Source organism: Homo sapiens, chromosome 9 (genome assembly GCF_000001405.40).
Source record: "Homo sapiens chromosome 9, GRCh38.p14 Primary Assembly".
Taxonomy (NCBI): Eukaryota; Metazoa; Chordata; class Mammalia; order Primates; family Hominidae; genus Homo; species Homo sapiens.
Genome location: NC_000009.12, coordinates 92,244,943 through 92,268,503, shown reverse-complemented (window position 1 = coordinate 92,268,503; position 23,561 = coordinate 92,244,943). Strand labels below are relative to the sequence as shown.

Below are 23,561 nucleotides of genomic sequence, written 5' to 3'. Positions count from 1 at the left end.
TATTGGATGTAGGTCATTGATGGCAGCACAAACTGTTGTGTGTGCTATGCTGTCCATTTAGAAGACATTCTCTTTGCAGTGAGCGCCACGTTTCCAGAGTGTTTGGTCCACAAAGCGTTATACAAAGGCTCCTGTGGGTATTATTTACATGTTGAATTTTTCCATATTTTTATGTGATTGGTTATGTGATCTGTTTATTGCAGGGTCCCAGAGTTGGTACGAGAAAAACGATTTGGAAATTGGCTGAAAGATGCACGTGACTGGACAATTTCCAGAAACAGATACTGGGGCACCCCCATCCCACTGTGGGTCAGCGATGACTTTGAGGAGGTGAGGCATGGCAGTATTTCCTTGTGTTGATTTTTGCTAAAGCATTTTGTTCATGAAATCTGAATGTGGTTTAAAAGAATAGGGTGTTTTTTTCTTTGCCCCTTTCTTATTTCATCTTTTTTCCTCTTTATTCCTTTCTAGAATCATGACATAAGATAATCTGTTTCTGGGGTTTTTAACTTTTTTTCCTTGAATTAAATACAATTTATAAAACTTTCCTCTGTAAAAATAAAAGGATACAGTTTTCTCAGGGAAATACACACTTTAAATGTTTTTTTTGTGTGTTTCCCCGATGTCTTTTCTTCCCCCTACATTAAGGTATACTATTAGCTTATGGTTAAACTGACTTTATAGATGATGAAAAAAGAAAACTTGAAAAGAAATTTACCAAAGCATTACAGACCTTTAACTTCTAAAATCAAATGAATAAGAGGATGTGTGTAGATATATAGATGTATGTGGATATACTATGTCCTCACTTAATGTCATACAGAGGTTCTTGATAACTGACTTTAGGCCGGGTGTGATGGCTCCCACATGTAATCGCAGCACTTAGGGAGGCCAAGGCAGGAGGATCGCTTGAGACCAGATATTTGAGACCAGCCTAGGCAACATAATGAGGTTCCATCTCTACAAAAATGTTTGTTAAATTAGACAGGCATGGTGGTGCACGCCACTTAGTTCCAGCTACTGGGACCTCTCAATGACATCAGGCGAGGACTTACTATACAGATAGATCTGTGTGTTTGGCCTTCTGTCCAAAGCTGACAGCATTGTTGCAGTGATGAGCGGCAGCACCCTGGGGACCTTGGTGAATCTCCCATAGGGACCTGAAAGGCAACAGTGAAGTAGCTGAATCAGAAGACTTTTCAGGACTGAACAGGAAGGGCAGAGAAAGAGGCCACCAGTGTTCACTAGGATCAGAAGCTCCCTGGGTGAGAACGCACAGCAGTTCCTACTGGTGTGGCCCTTGTCAGATGATCCCTCCATTCTGAGTGCCCCAGCTAGCCCCATCTCTCAGCTCTTTACCTGGATATAATCCTAGCATCCTGTGGCTTTGTCTGATTGCTTTAATCGGGTCCAAGCATAATATAGTCATGCACCACATAATGTCATTCAGTCAATGACAGACCGCATATACGACAGTGGTCCCACAAGATTATGATACCATATGGTTACTGTGCCTTTTCTGTGTTTTGTAATGTTTAGAAACTCAAATACTTCCTGTTTTAGTCTGTTTAGTGTAGCTACAAAGGAATACCTGAGGCTGGATAATTTATAAAGAAAAGTAGTTTATTTGGCTTATGATTCTGCATGACTGGAAAGTTGAAGACTAGACATCTGCATGTGGGGAGGACCTCAGGCTACATCCACTTATGATGGAAGGCTGGACAGGAGCCAGAGTATGCAGAAATCACATGGCAAGAGAAGAAACGGGCGGTGGGGTGGGGGCAGGCTCTTTTCAACAGTCAGCTCTCACAGGAGCTAATAGAGAGAGAACTAACTCACTGCAGAAGGAGAGCATTGGTCTCTTCACGAGGGATCCACCCTGTGACCCAGATGCCTCCCATCGGGCTCCATCTGTCAATACTGCCACACTGGGGATTAAATTTCAACTTGAGATTTGCTGGGGACAAACCATATGAAAACTAGAGCATTTACCATTGTGTTACAGTTGCCTGCAGAATTCAGTACAGCCACATGCTGTACAGGTTTGTAGCTTAGAAGTAATAGGCTCCACCATATAGCCTAGCTGTGTTTTAGGCCATCCCATCTAGGTCTGTGATGTTTGCCTAAGGAAATCACCCTAACAATGCATTTCTCAGAATGTATTCCCACCATTAAGCACTGTATGACTATAATTTAGCTCTAGCTTTTTCTTGGGAAGATTCTAGATTAATGAGCCAGATTCAGGTGCCAGGAGGAAACTAAAATGCCTTAGAGAAATAATCTAAGATGTTTCACTTATGCCAGTTACTTTGACAATTTGCACATAATAAACCCTTAATATCCATTGAGAGTATGGCTATGAATGTTTAAGATTCTCTCTAGGTAGGGACTCCCTCTGATACTGGGGTGGAAACAGAGGAGCAGTGGCAACCCTGGCCTCTTCAGAGACTAAGAGTAGGCTGTGTCTTTCATGAGAGAGAAGCCACATTAGCAAATACTATCCTTCGGCCCAGATTGGTGTGTTAATGTGCCTTTAAATCATCAGTCTCAGGCTGGGTGGCTCACGCCTGTAATCGCAGCACTTTGGGAGGCTGAGGGTGGCTGATAGCTCGAGTCCAAGAGTTTGAGACCAGCCTGGGCAGCATGGCGAAACCCTGTCTTTACTAAAAATACAAAAAATTAGCTGGGTGAGGTGGTGCCTGCCTGTAGCCCCAGGTACTTGGGAGGCTTAGGTGAGAGGATCACCTGAGCCCAGGAAGCTGAGGCTGCAGTGAGCTGTGATTGTGCCACTGCACTCCAGCCTGGGCAATGGTAGTGAGACCCTATCTCAAAAAAAAAGGAAAAAGAAAATCATCAGTCTCTCAAAGTAAACATGCATGCTATATAAATTAACTCAGTATGCTCTGTTTGGCTCTAAGGAGCTCCTGCTATTGAACTTTGTTTTTGACAGGTGGTATGCATTGGGTCAGTGGCGGAACTTGAAGAACTGTCAGGAGCAAAGATCTCAGATCTCCACAGAGAGAGGTCAGTTTCTAAATGTTCGATTCACTTCAGTTTTACGATTCTCCTATTAAGACCTGGTCTCTAGCAGATTACAGAGCCACACATGGAAGTGACTAGCTTGCTGAATTACTTTGCTGATGACTCATGTCATATTGCAGTATTGTGGCCTCTGTCCTTGTGAAATGTGAGGTGAATGGTGCATAACCTTTCAGATGGAGGATTCATGGTGCTCTCTGAAAGCCTTTGAGAATTGCTGATATTTCTGTTTGCAAATGTGTATAATATCTTGTCAGGGTTTTGTGTTTCCTATTAGCAATTAAACTGCAAGTTCTGTTATGCTTACAGTTAATAGAAATGACTACTTTTCTGTTTGTTAGTGTTGACCACCTGACCATTCCTTCACGCTGTGGGAAGGGATCCTTGCACCGCATCTCTGAAGTGTTTGACTGTTGGTTTGAGAGTGGCAGCATGCCCTATGCTCAGGTTCATTACCCGTTTGAAAACAAGAGGGAGTTTGAGGATGCTTTTCCTGCAGATTTCATTGCCGAGGGCATCGACCAAACCAGAGGATGGTATGCCTCCTTGTTCTTTCATCACGTGTTTTATTGATTTTATTTTATTTAGGGAGTATTTTACTAAGTCACTGCCATTTATCTACTGGGTGATGGAGAGATTGTGGCAAATAAGACAGGCTACATTCCTGCCCTCTCCCCTCCACCACCAAGCACGGACATTAAAGTGCCTTTTGAGTAGGACTCTCCCACTACAATAGGGCTGTAGTTTTACAATTTCAATGATCTCACTGGCATTTTGGAATATATGTGTTACACTGGATGTTAAAATGATAAAAAAAGTTATGTGTTCTTAGCTTACGTCAGATCATTTACTCAAATGTTTGAGTATTTGCATAAAAGACAGTAGTTTGGGTGCTAGAAATTTGAGGGATAGTTGGTAATGTGCTCAGATATTGAGGCTAGCCTTATAAATCAACATTCTAAAAAAATCCAGATTTTTAAAAAATATACATATGAGAGAGGATTTGGGCATTGATTTTTATCTGGTGCCTTATGTAAAACAGTTCCTTAATTGGAAGAAGGTGAATTACTTTCTTTCCATGGATTGGCTTTGCTGGCCCAGGCTTTATTTACTTTTTTTTTTTTTTTTGAGACAGAATCTTGCACTCTGCTGCCCAGGCTGGAGTGCAGGGGTGTGATCTCGGCTCACTGCACCCTTCGCCTCCTGGGTTCAAGCAATTCTTCTGCCTCACCCTCCTAAGTAGCTGGGTCTACAGGCATGCACCACCATGCCCAGCTAATTTTTGTAGTTTTAGTAGAGACTGGGTTTCACCATGTTGGCCAGGCTGGTCTCGAACTCCTGACCTCAAGTGACCCACCCGTCTCAGCCTCCCAAAGTGCTGGGATTACAGGCGTGAGCCATTGCGCCCAGCCCAGGTTTTAATTATACATTCACAGTAATGTTTCTGCAGGGGTGTGTTAAAGGAATTGTTGGTGTCATTTTCTCTCTTTGACAGCTTTGGGTAATCATTGAATTCAAGTCTTCATGTTCTGGAATGTGCTGTCTTCAGATTCCAGTCCTTTTTGTCTATAGGAACAGCTACCCAGCACAAATTCTGTTTTTAGAAAGGGGTAGATGCCTTACCAATGAGCTTGTTCCTTTGAGGAGTAGCAAAGTCTGTTAGCTGGTAACAGTCCTCATGTGGATCCCGTGTCCTTGGTGCCTGCCTCCTTCTCCATTCCTGAGGCCTGGGCTACCTCTCCTGGGCACCAGGGCTCCTCCCAACTCTCCTTTAGAAGTGGGAGGGATATCTGGATCAGTGTTTATGTTAACTATGGGGTCTGGTCTCCTCAGCTCATGTCCCTTGATGTTCTCAGAGTGCAGGACTAGGTAAGAGAGGCAGGAAAGCATCACCCCCAGGACAGTGGTCAGGGATATGAGTTCATTTGGGAAACAAGCTAGGTAGCACATAAATGAGGTACATAACATTTTACAGAATAAAAGCATTTTCTAGTCTGCCTTATCACTTTTGGGTGAGAGTGCATTTTGCATCTTTTGTCATCAAATTGTCTTTTCCATATGATCTTGTGCCAAATTCAAAACCCATCCTTCATCTTCAGCTAGGTGCTTCTGGGTGGTCCTGAGAGGCCACCCAGTGCTGCCATGTGGCTCTCCACACAGACTTCCTGGGAGCTCTGGTAACAGAGAAATGGTCAGTAAATCATTCCAGACGTTTATTTCAATGCTTCTTTCAAATCTTAGACAGTAATTTGATTGGTCTCCAGTAACCAGGATTAAGAATCATTGCTTTAAGTGATTCTCAAGAAGTGTGACTTATCAAAAATAGAAATTCAATGAATAAATACAGTTTCTTTCTTATGCTTGGACTTCATTTCTATTTTTATTGAACTGTTTGGGGTTTTTTTTCAGGTTTTATACCCTGCTGGTGCTGGCCACGGCCCTCTTTGGACAACCGCCTTTCAAGAACGTAATTGTGAATGGGCTTGTCCTGGCAAGGTAGGTCAACTTTGTTGTAGTGACGGGTGGAACTTTGTCTCCACTGTTTCTTAAGAAGGAGTGCGTGAGAGCGGTCAACTTTGTTGTAGTGACAGGTGGAGCTTTGTCTCCACTGTTTCTCAAGAAGGAGTGTGTGACAGCTAAGCCTGATGGAGGAGGAGGAAGGGGAGGACTTTCAGATTGTGCTACTGCTAGTAACATAATGCTACTAGTGATATTACTAGTAATAAAATAGCATTTACTAAACTTAGCACTTTATGAAATACTTTTGCTTATAGATCTTATTTAATCTGTACATCAGTCCTTTCATGTAGATTTTGTTGTCCTTTTTTTAACACACGAGGAAGCTGTGGGTTCTAGAGACCACAGGTGCCCAGGATCAAAGCTAGTGACAGCCACACTGGGCTTGACCGAGGTACTCTGCCACCAGATCCCATTCTTCCCCTCATCTGAAACTTCCTCCCAATGGGCATTATTTCCCACATTTTGCTATTATAAGGAAGTCTCATTTTTCCTTTACTTTATTACCTCTAGTCATTAAGAATAAAAATAAACATAAATGAAAATTTTAAAATGAAATATTTTAAAATAGAATTTGTGCTGAGTACCCACACAGAAATCCTACTTTATATGCTGTGTGAGGAGGAAGAGGATGTCACCTAACATTTTGTGCATCCTTATTTTTTGCCAGGCCCCACTGTGTGCATTTTCACATTTTAACTCATTTAATCCCCAGAACCATTTGAGATGGGTCCTATAATCCCTTTGTGACCTTTGAGGAATCTGAGGGACAGGAAAAAGTGACTTGCCAAAGGACACACAGCAAATGAGTGGTAAATGCAAATTTTGAACCCAGGCAGTCTGCCTCTGTAGTATGTGTACTACTTTTTTTTTTTTTTTAATTGAAAATTTTATTGAGGGCTGGGTGCTATGGCTCATGCTTGTAATCCCAGCCATTTGGGAGGCCATGGTGGGCGGATCTCCTGAGGTCAGGAGTTGGAGACCAGCCTGGCCAACTTGATAAAACCCCCGTCTCTACTAAAAATACAAAATTAGTGGGTGCAGTGGCACACACCTGTAACCCCAGCTACCTGGGAGGCTGAGGCACAAGAATCGCTTGAACCTGGGAGGCAGAGGTTGGAGTGAGCCAAGATCATGCCACTGCACTCCAGCCTGGGTAATAGAGTGAGGCTCCATCTCAAAAAAAAAAAGGGGGAAATTGTATTGAGATCATTGTAGATTTGCATGCAATTGTGAAAAATAATAGAGATCCCTTAAATTCTTTGCCCAGTTTCCCCCAGTGGTCACATTTTGCAAAACTACAGTATATATCACAACCAGGATATTGATATAGCCCACTAATCGTATTCAGATTTCTCTAGTTTTACATATACTTATTTGCTTATACGCATTTACCTGTATACGGCTATCGTGTGTAGGATCCTGTATCCAGCAGCACAGTCAGGTTACTGAATGAATTCAACATCAAAGGCTCCCTTCCTGCATTGCCTTCCCCTCCTGCCTTCCCACTGTCATCCCCAATCCCTGGCAACCACTGGTTTTTTCTCCATCTCTGTAATTTTGTCGTTTCCAGAATGTTATATAAATAGAATTATACAGTAACTAACTTGGGGGAATTGGCTTTTTTTTTCTTTTTTTTGAGACAGAGTCTCACTCTATCACCCAGGCTGGAGTGTAGTGGCGTGATCTCGGCTCACTGCAGCCTCCACCTCCTGGGCTCAAGCGATTCTCCCATCTCAGCCTCCCGAGTAGCTGGGACCACAGGCATGAACCACCACACCCAGCTAATATTTTGTATTTTTGGTAGAGACAGGGTTTCACCATGTTGACAGGCTGGTCTCGAGCTCCTGAGCTCAGGCGATCCACCTGCCTCGGCCTCCCAAAGTGCTAGTATTACAGGCATGAGCCACCGCACCCAGCTGGCTTTTTTTAAATCCACATAATTCCATTGAGATTTTAGATGACTGCACCTACCAATAGTTCCTTCCTTTCCATGGATAAATAGCATTCTGTATTATGGGTATGCCATGGTTTGTTTGATCATCCACCTCTTGAAGGACATCTGGGTTGCTTCTAACATTTGGCAATTGTGAATAAAGCTGTTGTGAACAATTGATAATAGGTTTTTATGATAATGTAAGTTTTCATTTCTTTGGGATATATTCTGACACATCTTTCTTCTTCAGTCTACCCTGAAGCTTCCTCATGGACTTAGTATGATATTCAAAAAGAAGTTTGCAAATATTAACAAAATATCTTACCATTGTACCTTAACACTGTTTGTTTCTTTTTTGAGACAGAGTCTTGCTCTGCTGCCCAGGCTAGAGTGTAGTGGCGCGATCTTGGCTCACTTCAATCTCTGCCTCTCAGGTTCAGGCAATTCTCCTGCCTCAGCCTCCCCAGTAGTGGGGATTACAAGTGTGCGCCCCCACGCCCAGCTAATTTTTGTATTTTTAGTAGAAACAGGTTTCACCATTTTGGCCAGGCTGGTCTTGAACTCCTGACCTCAGGTGATCTGCCTGCCTCAGCCTCCCAAAGTGCTGGGATTACAGGAGTGAGCCACCGCGCCCGGCCTATTAGCACTAACTTCTATCTAAGTTACTCCTTCCCATTTCATTTTGTATATTCCTGTTTGCAAATGATTTGTATCCTTAAAACAAGATCATCTGTGATATTGACTTACTTAATTGGCATCTCCCTTTTGTTTTACAAGTGATGGCCAAAAAATGAGCAAACGGAAAAAGAATTATCCAGATCCAGTTTCCATCATCCAGAAGTATGGTGCTGATGCCCTCAGGTACAAACCAGTGCTTTGCCTTGTGTGTATCTATTGTTTTTTTATGTAAGCATCTCCTATACTATTAATCAGTATTCTTAGATTTGGTTTATAGTTAGGTTTTTAGCAACATATCTCTGTTATTTGGATGTTATGTTGGTATGGTTGTTGATTTTAAACCCCCAAAATAGTTTTCTAAATAATAAAGGCATTTTTAAACCTAGAGGTCTGTTTGAGGAAGAGGACCTGTGTTGGGTGTTGTTGAGCTGTCCAAGTCCTCCCCAGGCTAGATGCTGATTGCCTCTGCCTTACTTCCTTTCTAGGTTCCCTGTCTTGTTGGTATTAGAATTCTCTTTCATCATTTGTTTTAATTTTGTACTTACAGAGCCATGTGAGATATATCTATGCTAGAGGTGATAAAAAAACTCATATTGAAAAGCTTTTGGAGAAATTTGAGCCACTGCTTGAGGTAGCTGTAATCATGAAACCACACAGTGTTCAAGTTGAAAGGGACCTAGAGATCTTGTTCAGCATCCCTGTGTCCTAGGCATGAGACCAGTGCCCAGGCCTGTGACTCAGCACCTTCACACAGTACCTCTGTTGACCAGGAGCCATTAGTGGGGCTCTCCCCCAATTCTCCACTGTCTCTTAGACTCACCCTTGGCACTGCTGCCCATTTGGGCTGTGTAATTCTTTGTGGTGGTAGTTCTTTGTAGGATGTTTAGCAGCATCCCTAACCTCTGCCCACCAGATGTCAAGACTCTGCTCTGTGAAGGCTCTTCCTTGTGAGTCCCTCTCTCTGCAAGCAGCAGATGCAGGTCGTGTCCGTGGGAAGGACACAGTGGCTCTTGACGAGGACCAGGCCAGCCTTTCTCTTAGTGCTGGTGTACCCCATTGGTCCTGCAGTGAGAGTGGCATAAGATGCATTTCTGTGCTATACAGTGCCATATTTTGGTGTCAGATTATATACGTCTTTTATAATTTGCTAAGTCTCTTATAGAAAGTGAGAGTGAGTTTTGTGAGTTTTAAATTGACCACTCAAAGAGTATTCATAATTACCCCCTTTTGTAGAAAATAGGACTGATTTTCATCTTGCTCTCTCAATATGTCGAGTAGTAATAATTGGTTTACTGTCTAAGTACCTTTTCTGTCTAATTTTTCTCCCTCTTCCAGATTATATCTGATTAACTCCCCTGTGGTGAGAGCAGAAAACCTCCGCTTTAAAGAAGAGGGTGTGCGGGACGTCCTTAAGGATGTACTGCTCCCATGGTACAATGCCTATCGCTTCTTAATCCAGAACGTTCTGAGGCTCCAGAAGGTATGGGCTGTAGGGGGCTGCACATGTACCTGCCGTGTCTCCACAGCGCTCCCTTCACCAAGCTGTGAGGTGGAGCTCTGTGTGAGACTTTAGGGCTGCTGTTCTCTGCTGCCTGATGCTGGGGTAACTTAGAGCCATGGGGAGGCCATACATGCAGGTGCGGAAGGTATCTAGGGTCCGGGCTATGCCAAGACCATGGGCCCTAGCCTGCAAAAGAGTTATGTCATATAGTTGTTTAGTCGCCAGTTGTTGTTTTTGTTTTTGAGGTGGAGTCTCAGTCTTGTCACCCAGACTGGATTGCAATAGCACGATCTCGGCTCACTGTAACCTCTGCCTCCTGGGTTGAGGCACTGCCTCAGCCTCCCCAGTAGCTGGGATTACAGGCACCCACCACCATGCCTGGCTAATTGTTTTATATTTTTAGTGGAGACTTGGTTTCATCATGTTGGTCAGGCTGATCTTGAACTCCAGACCTCAGGTGATCCGCCCTTCTTGGCCTCCCAAAAGTGCTGGGATTACAGGCATGAGCCACGGCACCCAGCTTCGTCAGCCAGTTCTTGGTACCAGGAACACCATGTTGAGTGAGACACCCCTCCCCTTATGGAACCAATGGAGTGGGAATTGGGAGATACAGTAAAGAGTCAGCAACTTTTAGAGAGAGCACCCAGTGAAGGCGGAGTCACAGGCAAGCTAGGGCTGGCCACTTGAGATGGGTGGTCAGAGAAGGCCCCTCAGTGGGGTGGCATTTGGGCTAATCTGAGAGTGACAGCAGTTCTCGATGGAGTTTTCAGTGGGTTGTTAGGGTCACATATAATAGTTGTGATGTATGTGGAAGTGTACTTCAATGGCAGTTACCTCCACGCCCAGGAGTTACTTTCTCACCTGAGAAGCCCTTGCTCTAGAGCCACCTTCCATGCCCCACAACTGACCATTGTCAGCGTCCATCACCTTCATTGAACATGTTCCTGTATGGGCTTTCAAGACCTGATTTGGGGTCAGAGTTCCGATACTGCACATCTGATCTCCAGCACCTTACAAGTAAAATTGCTTGTAAGTAAATAACTGTTGAATGAAAATGAGATATTATTCCTGCTTGAGCAGATGAAAAAGCTGGTTGGAAAAATGAACTCTTGTTATCCCACTCCAGCAGGCAGGTCAATTACTTCTGCTCCCCTTGGGCTCTGGTTGTTCTGCTAATGAGGACACATCATGTTCACCTGAGGCTCTCAGAGTAGCCTTTCCCCAGGAATTGAGAAGGGCAGTCATCTTCCCCAGGCTCCCAGCATTCCTCCTCTCTGCAGCCTGCCACCTGTCCTGCATGTGGTTCTCTGCCAAGTAGGGCAAACAGTCCTTGGGCAGGTGCACTCTGCAGGTCTCCACTGGTGTGGGACTCAGGAATACAGGCGGGGTCAAAGCTCCCCACAGCCAGGGCCCATCTGAATATACCAGCAAGACACAGACTCCATGATCAGGGCCTTAAACACAGAGGAAGAGTCACATTATCACTGCCCCGCTAGCCTGGTTGTGGTGCTGCCAGAGAAACAAAGCAGGACATGAGTTCTGTTTGTAGAGCAAGGACTTAAGATCAAGGAGGATTTTGCAAAGCAAAAAGAGTGGGATAGAACTTTCTGGGTAAAATGAACAGCCTTAGCATGGAAATTATTTCCCAGTACTCATTTTCAGTTTGTGGACAATCATTCAATCCTAGACAGTTCTACTGTCCTTCCTTCCTGAGGTTTAAAGTAACTAAACCCTACACTTTTCTGACAAGATTTTAGAATATCTTTCAATTCATAATTACTCTTTGGTGCAGAGAAGTAATGTTTTCCTAAACTCTCTTCAGTTTACTCAAAAACATAATAAATTAATTGAGGACTTAATGTGCCACGTTGGTGCTTATCTTGAAAATATTGCTGAAAATCAGAAATTCACATTGCCAGTAGGGTCTGGGATTTTTTCTTTTTGTTTTTGTTTAAGTGATTTAAGAAGTTTATTTCCTCATAGTAACTTTCTTCCCAAGTGTGCCAGTGTTTCATTAATTGTTCCTTCCTAGGAGGAAGAAATAGAATTTCTCTACAATGAGAACACGGTTAGAGAAAGCCCCAACATTACAGACCGGTGGATCCTGTCCTTCATGCAGTCTCTCATTGGCTTCTTTGAGACTGAAATGGCAGGTGAGTCTCTCTTGGTCTGTCCTCCCAGGAATAAGGACTATTCTCTTTGTAACTGCCCTTTTGATATTTAATAGTGGAAATATTGAGAGATACAGAAAATTAAATAATTGTTTCCTTTTACCTCTCATATAGTTTTGTTAAGGCTTGTTAATTGTCGTGATATCTTTGTTTCAAGACCCTGGGGACTTCTGGCCTGGTGTGGTGGCTCACGCCTGTAATCCCCAGCATTTTGGGAGACCAAGGCAGGCAGGTCACCTTAGGTCAGGAGTTCGAGACCAGCCTGGCCAACATGGCGAAACCCTGTCTCTACTAAAAATATATTTAAAAAAAAAAAAAAAGTTAGCTGGCCATGGAGGCGGGCGCCTGTAATCCCAGCTATTCAGGAGACTGAGGCAGGAGAATTGCTTGAACCTGGGAGGCGGAGGCTGCAGTAAGTTGAGATTGCACCACTGCCTGGGCAATAAGAGCGAAACTCCATCTTAAAAAAAAAAAAAAAGCCCTGGGGAATTCTGTCTTTAGGGGGTGTCCTCGTGGTCTCAATGCTCCACAGAAGAGCTTTAGAGCTGGATAGCCATGGGTTCAGAGCCCAACTCTACCACTTGTTCCCAATCCAGAGAGTTGCCTGAAGTCTGACCGTCAATTTCCTTTTTTTTTTTTATGGGTACATAGTAGATGTATATATTTATGGGGTACAGGAGATATTTTTATATAGGCATACAGTGTGTAATAGTCATATCAGGGTAAATGGGATATCCATCACCTCAAGCATTTATCATATCTTTGTGTTGCAAACATCTCGGTTATACCCTTTTTCTTGTTTTTAAATGTACAAGAAATTATTGTTGACTGAAATCACCCCATTGTGCCATCAGATGCCACTCTTATTCAGCCTATCTTGACCTTCAGTTTCTTTATCTGCAGAATGCCCAGTAGTGTTTGTAAGGCTTAAGTAGAGACGATTTACATAAAGTAGCTGGCAGATGATAGGTACTCAATAAATAATACTTGTTATTAATGCATTTATAACTTATTTTTAGTTCTATTTTCATTACTAAATAGTCCCCTTCTTTTCCAGAAAAATTAGAAAAGTCAGAAGAGCAATAATGAAATGGACATTTTGCTGTTATTTCTATTAACTAACAACAGTGAGTTCGTTGGGTAATTTTACAGAGATTCAAAAAGTACATTATGTTGGCTTCCTTAAGGTTTGAGATAATCACAACTGTAGGTCCAGGTGAGAAATCTGGGACACCTCAGACAGTCAGTTAAAGTGGGTGGACAGAGGCCCTGGGTCACAGTGAGGGCAAAAGAGGGCAAGGCAAATCCACCCTCACAGGGCTCTGCGGTTCCTGCTGCTGTTGGGCAGGAGCAGCGGCCGCCACAGACCTGGGATTCACCATTAGCCTAGATACGGGCACATGCTGCTCCCTGGAGTAGGCGCTGCTGCCCCATTTAGCACAGAAGGACTGCTACAGGATTTGTCCACCTTGTTAAACATGTAGAAGGATCACGACAGTCCAGCTGTTGCTCAGATAGACACAGATGAAGATGGAAGTGAGTGTGAGGCTGAGTGCTGCCCTGGCGAGGGCAGCACTGGGAGCCCAGCACACTCCCCAGACATGCTCACACCTGTGTCTGCTTTTCCCTCCTGAGTGATACAAGTGGGTGGGAAACGTGGGGATTGTTGCCCGGACCCCCTTCAATATTTGGGCACCAGCTGCCATGACCTCCTGTGAAGCTGGGTCTGGAGATGCGCATTCTGGCTGGAGCCTGGTCTGCCTGGAAACTGGAGATCGGCAGCCACGTTTTGTGGGCCGTGTTTAAGTCCCGGTTCTGCCGGCCTGTCAGCTTCATGTCCTCCACTCCCTCAGGAGCACTGTGGGTATGAGAGGACCTGCCTCACAGGGTGGTGGTGGCCTGGGTAGTGGCTGCTGCTGCTGCCCCTGTGTGTTGTATGTTTATCCATTGTATGTGGAGTTCTATTTGGGTTCATTTACTCCCTCAGAGTTGAAACCAGAACATAGAAAACCTGAGCTTCCTGGAAGGTAAAAAGTGCCGTGAACCCTAGAAATCATTTAGACAGGTCTCAGTTACTGAAATCACATGTCTAAGAAAGTGTGACCAGCTAACGACTCTGGCCTGGGGCTCAGCCCACTGACATCTGAGTTCTGGTCTTTGTGAAAAGCAGCAGAGAGCAGCTCTGCCGGTTGCAACTTCTCGTCTCTTAGCTTAGACCAGAAGCCTCATTAACAGTCCCTGGACTCTTTTCATTATTATAAATTGTATTTGTTTCTAAGTATCGGTCTTATTCTTTTTGTTTTTTGTGTTTGTTTTTATGTAACAAAGAGTATTAATTAAATGGGAGGTGAATGAGAATCCTTAAAATAAGCCTTGCCTCAGACAATTGGCTAAACACCCTTTCTTTCCTACTTGATCTCTGAGTTTCTCAGGGAACTCTTCAAATCCTCCTAATTCCTCAAGACCTTCACTACCTCTGATGCTGTTTTTACTCGACTGTTTTAATGTTTAGAAGGCCAGTTCTATTTTATTCATAGCCTGTGCCAGAGTTTCTTAACTGCAGCACTATGGGCAGTTTGGGCCAGGTCATCCTCTGTGGTGGGGCTGTGCTGTGCTTTATAACTGAGCAGCATCTCTGGGTCTACCCATTAGATTCCAGTAGCACCGTGCTACCCTCCAAGTTGTGACAAGCAAAATGTTTCTCCAAACGTTGACAAATGTTTCCCATGGGATAAAATTGCTTTTGTTTGAGAATCACTGGCCTATGCTGTGCCTCTTAGCATCTGAATTGTGCTTTTTGTCTTTTAGTTGAAGTACAGTGTAATACAATGGAAAGAAGTTGGGCATTGTTGATGCTGTCAAATTGCACAGCTCCGTGTAAATGGCACTTCCTACAGTTGTGTAGTGGGCAGTCTTGGACTTTGATCCACACATACTGGAGTTTTTGGCTTTTCTCACTGACCAATGGGAATTCGCATGTGGCTCACATGGTGATTTTTTTGTGTGCACCCCTAAACACTCTGACTGCCATGTAGCACATCCTCAACAAACAGTCATTATGTGATTGATTCATTTTGGTTCTTTTCTCCTTAGTAAGTGGAGGCACTTGGATGGAAGGAGCTGCCCCTTCTTTGTTGTATCCAACCCTCTCCCCACCCCAGATGCCTGGTAACCCACTTGCTGCCTGATTGACTTGTCTTACTTTTAGCTTATAGGCTTTATACTGTGGTGCCTCGCCTGGTCAAGTTTGTAGATATTCTGACCAATTGGTATGTTAGAATGAACCGCAGAAGATTAAAGGTAAGTGCAGACTGCTGTTGGGAAAAGCAAAAAGTGTATGAAGTTTGAAAGTAGAAGAAATATGAGAATAGCCAGAAGGGAGAGGAACATTTTCAGTTGCTCTCCGTTTTTGAAGCTTTGTTTTTCTTTTCCTTTTACATTGCATTTTAACTATATTTGTCATTTGAGGGATAGGGATCTATAAGTTCTAAAAGTCATTTTGCATTATTTTCACAACACAATTATGTACATGTCATATTGGAGGGAGAATGTCAAGGCACAAACAGGACTACACTGAGCAGACCTCTTAAAATTCAAAATAAAATCATGCAAATATTTTATAAAAATACTGGTAGATATGGCATTAATATTGAGAGGGGTACTTCCTTCTACCACAAGGGAGTCAGATATTATTTACTGTGGACAGAACTCCTCTGTAGCTGTTGGGGGTTTAGGATGAGCAGAGCATAGGTCCTGGTCTCAGGACTTAAGCCAGGTACATAAATAACAATGATGCTTAATAGAGAGAGCGAGGTCTCTTTACTGCAGGCCCAATGAAGGCTCCCACTACCCATTAGTCATGTCTTTTTTTTTTTTTTTTTTTTTTTTTTTTTTTTTGAGAAGGAGTTTCACTCTTGTCACCCAGGCTGGAGTGCAGTGGCATGATCTTGGCTCACTACAACCTTTGCCTCCCAGGTTCAAGCAGTTCTCCCTCAACCTCCCCAGTAGCTGGGATTACAAGTGTGCACCACCACGCCTGGCCAATTTTTGTATTTTTGGCAGAGACAGGGTTTCACCACGTTGGCCAGGCTGGTCTCAAACTCCTGACCTCAGGTGATCCACTGGCCTCAGCCTCTCAAAGCAGTGGTGTTACAGGTGTGAACCACCGTGCCTGGCCAGTCATGTCTTAAAAGGCATTAATAATAAAAGCCTGCAACACAACTGTAATTTCATTTTTGTGCAGATGTATCTCACACACACGTATCTAGAAGGACATATGCTAAGATGCTTACAGTAGTTGTCTCTGGATAAATTAATTATGATTGTAGGAAAAACAAAGATAATGAAAAAATTTCAATGAATTGGTATTTTTTTTAATACACATTATATACTTTTTTAACATAAATCTTATTTAAAGGTACTTTAAAGTTTTTGGTTAGCAACTGTTTTTGTCTGTTGTGGGTAGATCCATTCTACCTTCAGCCTTCGGGTCCTACAGTTAGGCTCTACTTCCCTGTCAGCTCGCCTCAGGTGGGGATAGTCAGTGGGACAGCAGGTGCACATCCTGGCCAGGCCTCCTGCACTGCCCTGAAGGGCCACCCTGGTGGCACTGACCGTGGATGGCCTGTGGTCGTGGCCCTTTCTCCTTTCTCTGTCTCATGTCTTGTCTGTATGCTGCATGTTCTTTGAAGATTGCCTCTTTTTAATAAACTTATTTTTTTAATGATAAACACTTATTTAACAGTTTAATGTTTATGTTTCCTTTTTACTCATTAGGGTGAAAATGGGATGGAGGATTGTGTCATGGCCCTAGAAACCTTGTTTAGTGTTCTGCTTTCTCTTTGCAGACTTATGGTAAGATGATTGGCTTCTTTCTAGTACCCTTTGGCCTATGGGCTGCCTTCAGCACCTACTTGCTGCAGCATCCTCCATTTATATCCATTCTGTATTATTCTGCCAAAAATAGATATAGAAGTTTTATAACACCTTATAGCTCTAGTTCCTTATCAGAAATCTTGTTAGCTTATACATGTTAAGTAAGGACTAAGAAATACTAGATTCTTTCTTACAGTCTCTGGCAGTACAATATATGTCAGGGCCCTTGGCTCTAGAATGAGGATCTACAGTTCAAAGTAAGACATACCTCATCTTAATGTGGATTGCCATAATTGTGAGTAATGGGGGAGGTTCTTCAGCTAATACCTGTCTGAGTAAATATATATATATCACAAAAAATACTTTAACTTAGCATTGAGAGGAAAACGTGCAAGTAATTGTTTGATATATGTTCTTATCAGTTCAGATATTAGTTAAATAATATAAAAGTGGAACGGCTCCAACTTTAATTCTTTTTATCCTGTTTCCTTTACTCCATATGTTATAAGGCTCCTATTTATTCCTTAACCGAAGGAAAATCTGCTTTGTACAAGGTGCTGTGCCTGGTGCTCTCCATGCCTGATCTCATCACCTCCATCCTGTGAAGCAGGGGGTATTTTCCCCAGTTTACAGATGAGGTTTCTGAGGTGTGGGACAGTCAGTCTTCTGTGCATATTGACTTGGCTGATACATCATTAGGTGCTCCTGTTTCTATTTTAGACATCCTTCAGAATTCTAGAGGTGCTTTGGGTTTTTCTATCTACAGTCCTGCAGCTATGCTTCAGGGATATGAGGCCATTTCTCATTCACAGGGCATGTTTTGTAACCTCATGCTCATTTTGGTGCCTATTACTGTGTCATTCTCTAACATGTTTAGTTGTTTCTCAGTATAAATGAGATCAGTTGTTGATGACTGCATATAACTGACATGATGTCCTGTGTCTTCATACAGGCTCCCTACACACCTTTTCTCACTGAATTGATGTACCAGAATCTAAAGGTGCTGATTGACCCTGTTTCTGTTCAGGACAAGGACACACTCAGCATTCACTACCTCATGCTGCCCCGTGTTCGGTAGGACTCAAATAGAAATAAGCCTCACCTGTGCCAAGGAGGGGAGAGTTGCTCAAGCATGTGGGGAAGAGGAGGGATTTCCCTGCTCCAGCTCCATCTGTGCCTTGCCTCCCGCCCCAGCTGACATGAACTCCTCAGGCTGCAGGATGGGGCCCACTTTGGTACACGGTAGCAAGGATGCTTGGTGTGGAACCCCTTTGTAGAGCTGTGGCAGGTGGGGTGTGGGCATGCCCCATGGGGGCTCCTTGGGGAGATGCCGGGTGCTGAGTGGTAGGCACTGCGCTGCCCTTCCCCAGTGCTTCACCAGGAGGGCCTAGCCACACTTCTCTAGCCTGACCCTCTTCCTCGCTTATGCATGCCTAGTGCCTTCAATTTTCTCCTCTTAAATCTAAACTCTTTCATATTCCTACCTCTACCACTCAGAGAAGAATTGATTGACAAGAAAACAGAGAGTGCAGTATCTCAGATGCAGTCTGTGATTGAACTTGGAAGAGTGATCAGAGACCGAAAAACTATTCCCATAAAGGTTTGAAATTTTACTTCTATTTTACATGGCACAGACCTAAATTAATTAAGTGTTTGGAATGCTTTTTTAATATAGAGAGCTTCCACCAATGGCCTTTTTCCTTTTCTGCAGTGAGGGTGTGAATGACTTAGTACTAGTCCAGCCTGACTAGAGCTTGAGATTCAAATAAACATTTAATATTCCATTTTTCTGCAGTTTTAGAGGACTGGCTGCTGAGTGAACTTTCCCCTCCCTTTTCCTCCTAGTATCCTTTGAAAGAAATTGTGGTTATCCATCAAGATCCAGAAGCTCTTAAAGATATCAAGTCTTTGGAGAAGTATATCATTGAGGTAAGGTAGATGATTTGTCTGTTTTTGGTACAGATAGACTTAGAACATTATTTTGATGAATAATCCTCAAAGTACATATTGACTCTATAATTTATTTTTATTAGTATAGTCATAACAAATGTAATAATCCATATTTTACACTGTGCTTGGAATCAACATAAATTTGTTGTAATTCTTTTAAAAATATTTCAAGATCAATGAATTTCTTTACCTATCATCTATCATCTTCATTCACTTCCCTGAAGTTCTGTTCTTTTCTGTCCTGTCCTTTCCTTTTCCTTTTCCCTTACTTTACTTTTCTTTCTTTTCTTTCGACAGAGTCTCTCACTCTGTCATCCAGGCTAGAGTGCAGTAGTGCCTTACCACAACCTCCACCTCCTGGGTTCAAGCGATTCTCCTGTCTCAGCCTCCCGAGTAGCTGGGATTACAGGCACCCGCCACCATGCCCAGCTAACTTTTGTATTTTTAGTAGAGAATGGGGTTTCATCATGTTGGCCAGGTTGGTCTCAAACTCCTGACCTCAAGTGATCTGCCCGCCTTGGCCTCCCAAAGTGCTGGGATTACAGGCATGAGCCACTGTGCCTGGCCTTCTGAAGTACTTTTTGATAACTACCAAAGAAACTTTGTTCCTCCAAATTATGCAAGTGACAAGTACCCTCGCATGTAAAAAGTCGAAGCAATAGCATAGGGAGCCTCTCTCCACCCCATTTCTCCCTGGAGTCTCACTTCCTGGCTGCTTCATAATTTATTTAATTACTGTCCCGTTGTTTGACATTTAGGTTTCTGATTACAAACAAAAGCTTTGTGTGTACATATATGCATATATCAGTGTATGGATATTGGATAGATTCCAGAAGTGGAGTTTTGGGGTCAAAGTTTATAGTGTCAGTTGTCTTCCTAAACATTTTTATTCCATGATATTTTAAAACATCTTTATTCCATGATGTTTTAAAAACGCATATGTTTTACCTCATCTTCTTTGTGATGATAGAAAACAAATATTTTTTAAAATTTCATTGTTTATTCTTTTCACAGGTGATATTTAAAATCATTATTATAGAAAATGTTAATTTCTATATTTGGTTTTCAGTTGCTTGAAAGTTGCAGAGAAATATTAGAAACCAAAAGTTAGATTTTAAATTCTGACATTAGTACCTGTGGCTATGCATAAAATAGAAATTTTTTTTTTTTTTTTTTTTTTTTTTGTGACAGGGTCTCGCTCTGTCACCCAGGCTGGAGTGCAGTGATGTGATCTTGGCTCACTACAGCCTCCATCTCCTGGGCTCGGGCAATCCTCCCACCTCAGCCTCCCAAGTGGCGGAGATTAGGCATAGTAGTACAGGCTTTTGTAGAGATGGGGTTTTGCCATGTTGCCCGGGCTGGTCTCTAACTCCTGAGCTCAAGTGATCCTCCCACCTCGATCTCCCGAAGTGCTAAGATTACAAGTTTGCGCCACCACACCCAGCTGAAAAATTTTGAAATTAACTACTTCACTTAAAATGAGATTAATTAATGTAGCTAAATATAATGGCAAAACTAAACATTCCGTATTATTTGCTTCAAGCTGTTCTCATTTTCCCATCCGCTACTGTGCCATCACCATCCCTGCCGCATCAGTAATCCTCAGTAGCATGACTGAAGCATGAAGTGTTCTGTTTAACTGATCTTCTGCTTAGTTAATAGTTAACCTTGTGGTACTCTGCAATTGCTTGCACAAAGGTTACCTCTGAGGGATGAGGTTTATATTTCTGGGTCTGGAGTCCTTTTTCTGTTATGCTCAACTGTCTTGATAGATCTTCATAACAAGCATTTTCTTCTTACCATACAAATCACTGGTTTTTAAGCATATTTATAGAATGGTACAACTATCACCATAGTTTTAGAACATTTTCCTCGTCCCAGAAAGAAAGCCAGTATTCATTAACATTCACAAACCATTTTCCCCTCAATATCTGACCATTTCCTGGCATCCACGAACCTATTTGCTATCTCTGGATTTGCCTTCTCTGGACATTTCATATAAGTGGAATCATACAATTTGTAATCTTTATGTCTGGCGTGTTTCACCTAGCATAATGTTTCACATTAATTTATGTTGTAGCACATATGAGTGCTTCAGTCCTTCATATTGCCAAATACTCTATTGCATGTGTATGCTGCATTTTGTTTATCCATTCACAGTTGATGGACACTTGAAGTGTTCTTGCTTTCTGGCAGTTAGGAATAATGCTGCTGTGGACCTACATTTTTGTGTGAACATATGTTTTCATTTCTCATTTTTGTTTCCTCTTGTGCATTAACTGTAGGAACTCAATGTTCGAAAAGTTACACTGTCTACAGATAAAAACAAGTATGGCATTCGGCTAAGGGCAGAACCAGATCACATGGTCCTGGGGAAGCGTCTGAAGGGAGCCTTTAAGGCAGTGATGACGTCCATCAAGCAGTTGAGCAGTGAGGAGCTGGAGCAGTTCCAGAAGACTGGTAGGTGTCTACACAGACAAGGGCACCATTTATGTCCTGAGTCTGAGGGATACTTTTTAGGCTACTGTTTGACTTTTAATATCACATCCTTTCCTTTCCTGTCCTGTCGTGTCCCGTCGTGTCCTGTCCTTTCCTTTCCTTTCCTTACTCTCTTCTCTTTTCTCTCTTCTCTCTTCTCTTTTCTTGACAGAATCTCGCTCTGTCATCCATCCTGGAGCACAGTGGCGCGATCTTGGCTCACTGCAACCTCTGCCTCCCAGGTTCAAGTGATTCTCCTGCCTCAGCCTCCCAAGTAGCTGGGATTACAGGCACGTAGTACCATGCCTGGCTAATTTTTGTATTTTTGGTAGAAACAGGGTTTCACCATGTTGGCCAGGCTGGTCTCTAACTCCTGACCTCAGGTGATCCACCCGCCTTCGGTCCCCCAAATTGCTGGGATTACAGGTGTGTGCCACTGCACCGGTCCATCCTTTTCTTAAGTAAAACTTTTTTTCCTGTTGATAAAAATGTTTATTATAAATAATTCTTACAGTTTAGAAAGAAAATAGCTGGGCACAGAGGCTCACATCTGTAATCCCAGCGGCTCACATCTGTAATCCCAGCATTTTGGGAGGCCCAGTTGGATAGATCACTTGAGATCACTACAGGCACATACTACCACACTTAGCCAGATGTGGTGGTATGTGCCTGCCATCCCAGTTACTCTGGAGGCTGAGGTGGGAGGATCCCTGGAGCCTAGGGTGATTTTGTCCTTACTTTCATGGTGCTTGCTGACATTGAAGATTTGGGAAAATAATTATGGTTTTGATAAGTGTTATAAAGGGAAGGTGTAGGGTAACATAAAAACATGTGGGGGTACCTAACCAAATGATGGGATTAGGAAAGGGAAATCAGCCCCATCTTGCTACCCCTATACAGAGCATTTCAGGGTGCCCAGAAATTTGCAGCTCTGCCATGATTAGAATCATACATGGTCTGAGTGTGGCTGTCTGACATCCTGTAACTATCCTGGGGCACAAGCTGTTTATTGTTACGGCTTCCTCTGAAGTTGAAAATCATAAGCTAGGAGATGTCTTGAGAAGAGAGATTTGAGGATTCATAAATCAGATGGGGGAACTGTCCCTAAGATTCTCCAAATATTTAGATAGAATTAATAAAACATAAGACATCAGCAGCTAAACCTCAAGTTATTACTAATTACTAATCAACTCAAAATATTAAAATAACAAAGTGTTACGAGCCTTCAAGCCACAAATCTAAATTGTTCGCCAGATAGCCAAAGCATCAAAAATTCCTGAGATGGCTGGGGGTGGTGACTCATGCCTGTAATCCCAGCACTTTGGGAGGCCGAGGCGGGCAGATCACGAAATCAGGAGATTGAGACTGTCCTGGCTAACACGGTGAAACCCCGTCTCTGCTAAAAACACACACACACACACAAAATTAGCCAGGTGTGGTGGCAGGCGCCTGTAGTTCCAGCTACTCAGGAGACTGAGGCCGGGGAATGGCGTGAACCCAGGAGGCAGAGCTTGCAGTGAGCCGAGATCCTGCCACTGCACTGCAGCCTGGGTGACAAAGCAAGACTCTGTCTCAAAAAAAAAAAAAAAATTCCTGGGCTAAACCTTATTTGAAATTGAAAGCCTAGTTTCTGAGCGTACTGTTCTGCACTGATGGAAAACAAGATCATCTTCAGAACACAGAGACAAAGTAAACATAAAAATGACACCCGGGTGCTCAGAGCCCAAGAAGGTCATCATCAGTGACAACAGTGGGCCTCCCTATCAGCGGGGGTGTTAACATCAGCAGCTGTTCACATTTCTGCCTCCCCTGAACAGGCATGATGCTCAGTACTACACACTGCCCGTCTCATTTTAGCCTCACCACACCTTGCTCAGCAGGTAGCAGAACACCATGTCATACAACCAGCAAATAGTGGACCTAAGTTCACTTTCTCTTTAAAGACTGTATTTTCTTCATGACATCCTGCTGCTCTGTGTTTATGGTGAGCATTTGTTGCCTCTTGGTGCCTTCCCTTAGCTTTGTCATGTCTTTGGACCTGAGAGTTTATATAAAACAGTAGATACTGGTGATGACTTAACTGTCTTCAAGGTAGCATAGTGTAATCTAAAGAAAGTTTGTCATGTCTTGGCTACAACCATGACATGAGTCAGAGGGAAATGATCTCTTGAAGCCTCTGTGGCTTTGTTATTGTGAAATTTTAATCAAGAAGGGGCATAATACACGGGTAGTGGGGCAGCTTGAAGAGGAGGGGAAGCTGATTAACAGTGTAGCTGCTTCTCCATAGGGACCATTGTTGTGGAAGGCCATGAATTGCACGATGAAGACATCCGCCTCATGTACACCTTTGATCAGGCCACAGGTGGGACTGCGCAATTTGAAGCACACTCAGATGCTCAGGTATTTTTCTGTTTCC

At 43.1% G+C, this 23,561-nt stretch overlaps 1 protein-coding gene across 22 annotated transcripts in view, besides 1 other annotated feature; it reads left to right on the top strand.

Moving 5' to 3' along the window:
- Positions 1-23,561, top strand: part of IARS1 (isoleucyl-tRNA synthetase 1) — an 83,491-nt gene that overhangs the window by 25,194 nt on the left and 34,736 nt on the right. For 17 of the 22 annotated variants that reach the window (NR_073446.2, NM_001378573.1, NM_001378583.1 and 14 more), the window contains 14 exons: positions 204-330; positions 2,951-3,024; positions 3,381-3,575; positions 5,449-5,535; positions 8,270-8,353; positions 9,506-9,650; positions 11,704-11,824; positions 15,051-15,142; positions 16,619-16,696; positions 17,670-17,791; positions 18,215-18,317; positions 18,563-18,646; positions 20,953-21,127; positions 23,433-23,545. Coding sequence is in view for 21 of the 22 variants with exons in the window: in NM_001378573.1 (NP_001365502.1) it covers positions 204-330; positions 2,951-3,024; positions 3,381-3,575; positions 5,449-5,535; positions 8,270-8,353; positions 9,506-9,650; positions 11,704-11,824; positions 15,051-15,142; positions 16,619-16,696; positions 17,670-17,791; positions 18,215-18,317; positions 18,563-18,646; positions 20,953-21,127; positions 23,433-23,545 (1,600 nt within the window). In the remaining variant the exon portion in view is untranslated. The remainder of the gene's footprint in view (positions 1-203; positions 331-2,950; positions 3,025-3,380; positions 3,576-5,448; positions 5,536-8,269; positions 8,354-9,505; positions 9,651-11,703; positions 11,825-15,050; positions 15,143-16,618; positions 16,697-17,669; positions 17,792-18,214; positions 18,318-18,562; positions 18,647-20,952; positions 21,128-23,432; positions 23,546-23,561) is intronic. The other 5 variants (NM_001378584.1, NM_001374299.1, NM_001374300.1 and 2 more) reach the window with 3 other exon arrangements.
- Positions 17,517-18,017: an enhancer, noted in NCBI's record as "H3K4me1 hESC enhancer chr9:95012769-95013269 (GRCh37/hg19 assembly coordinates)". NCBI's record gives its function as "activates a minimal SCP1, AML or CMV promoter by ChIP-STARR-seq in primed H9 embryonic stem cells {active_cell/tissue: H9 hESC(primed)}" and the evidence as "EXISTENCE:reporter gene assay evidence [ECO:0000049][PMID:30033119]".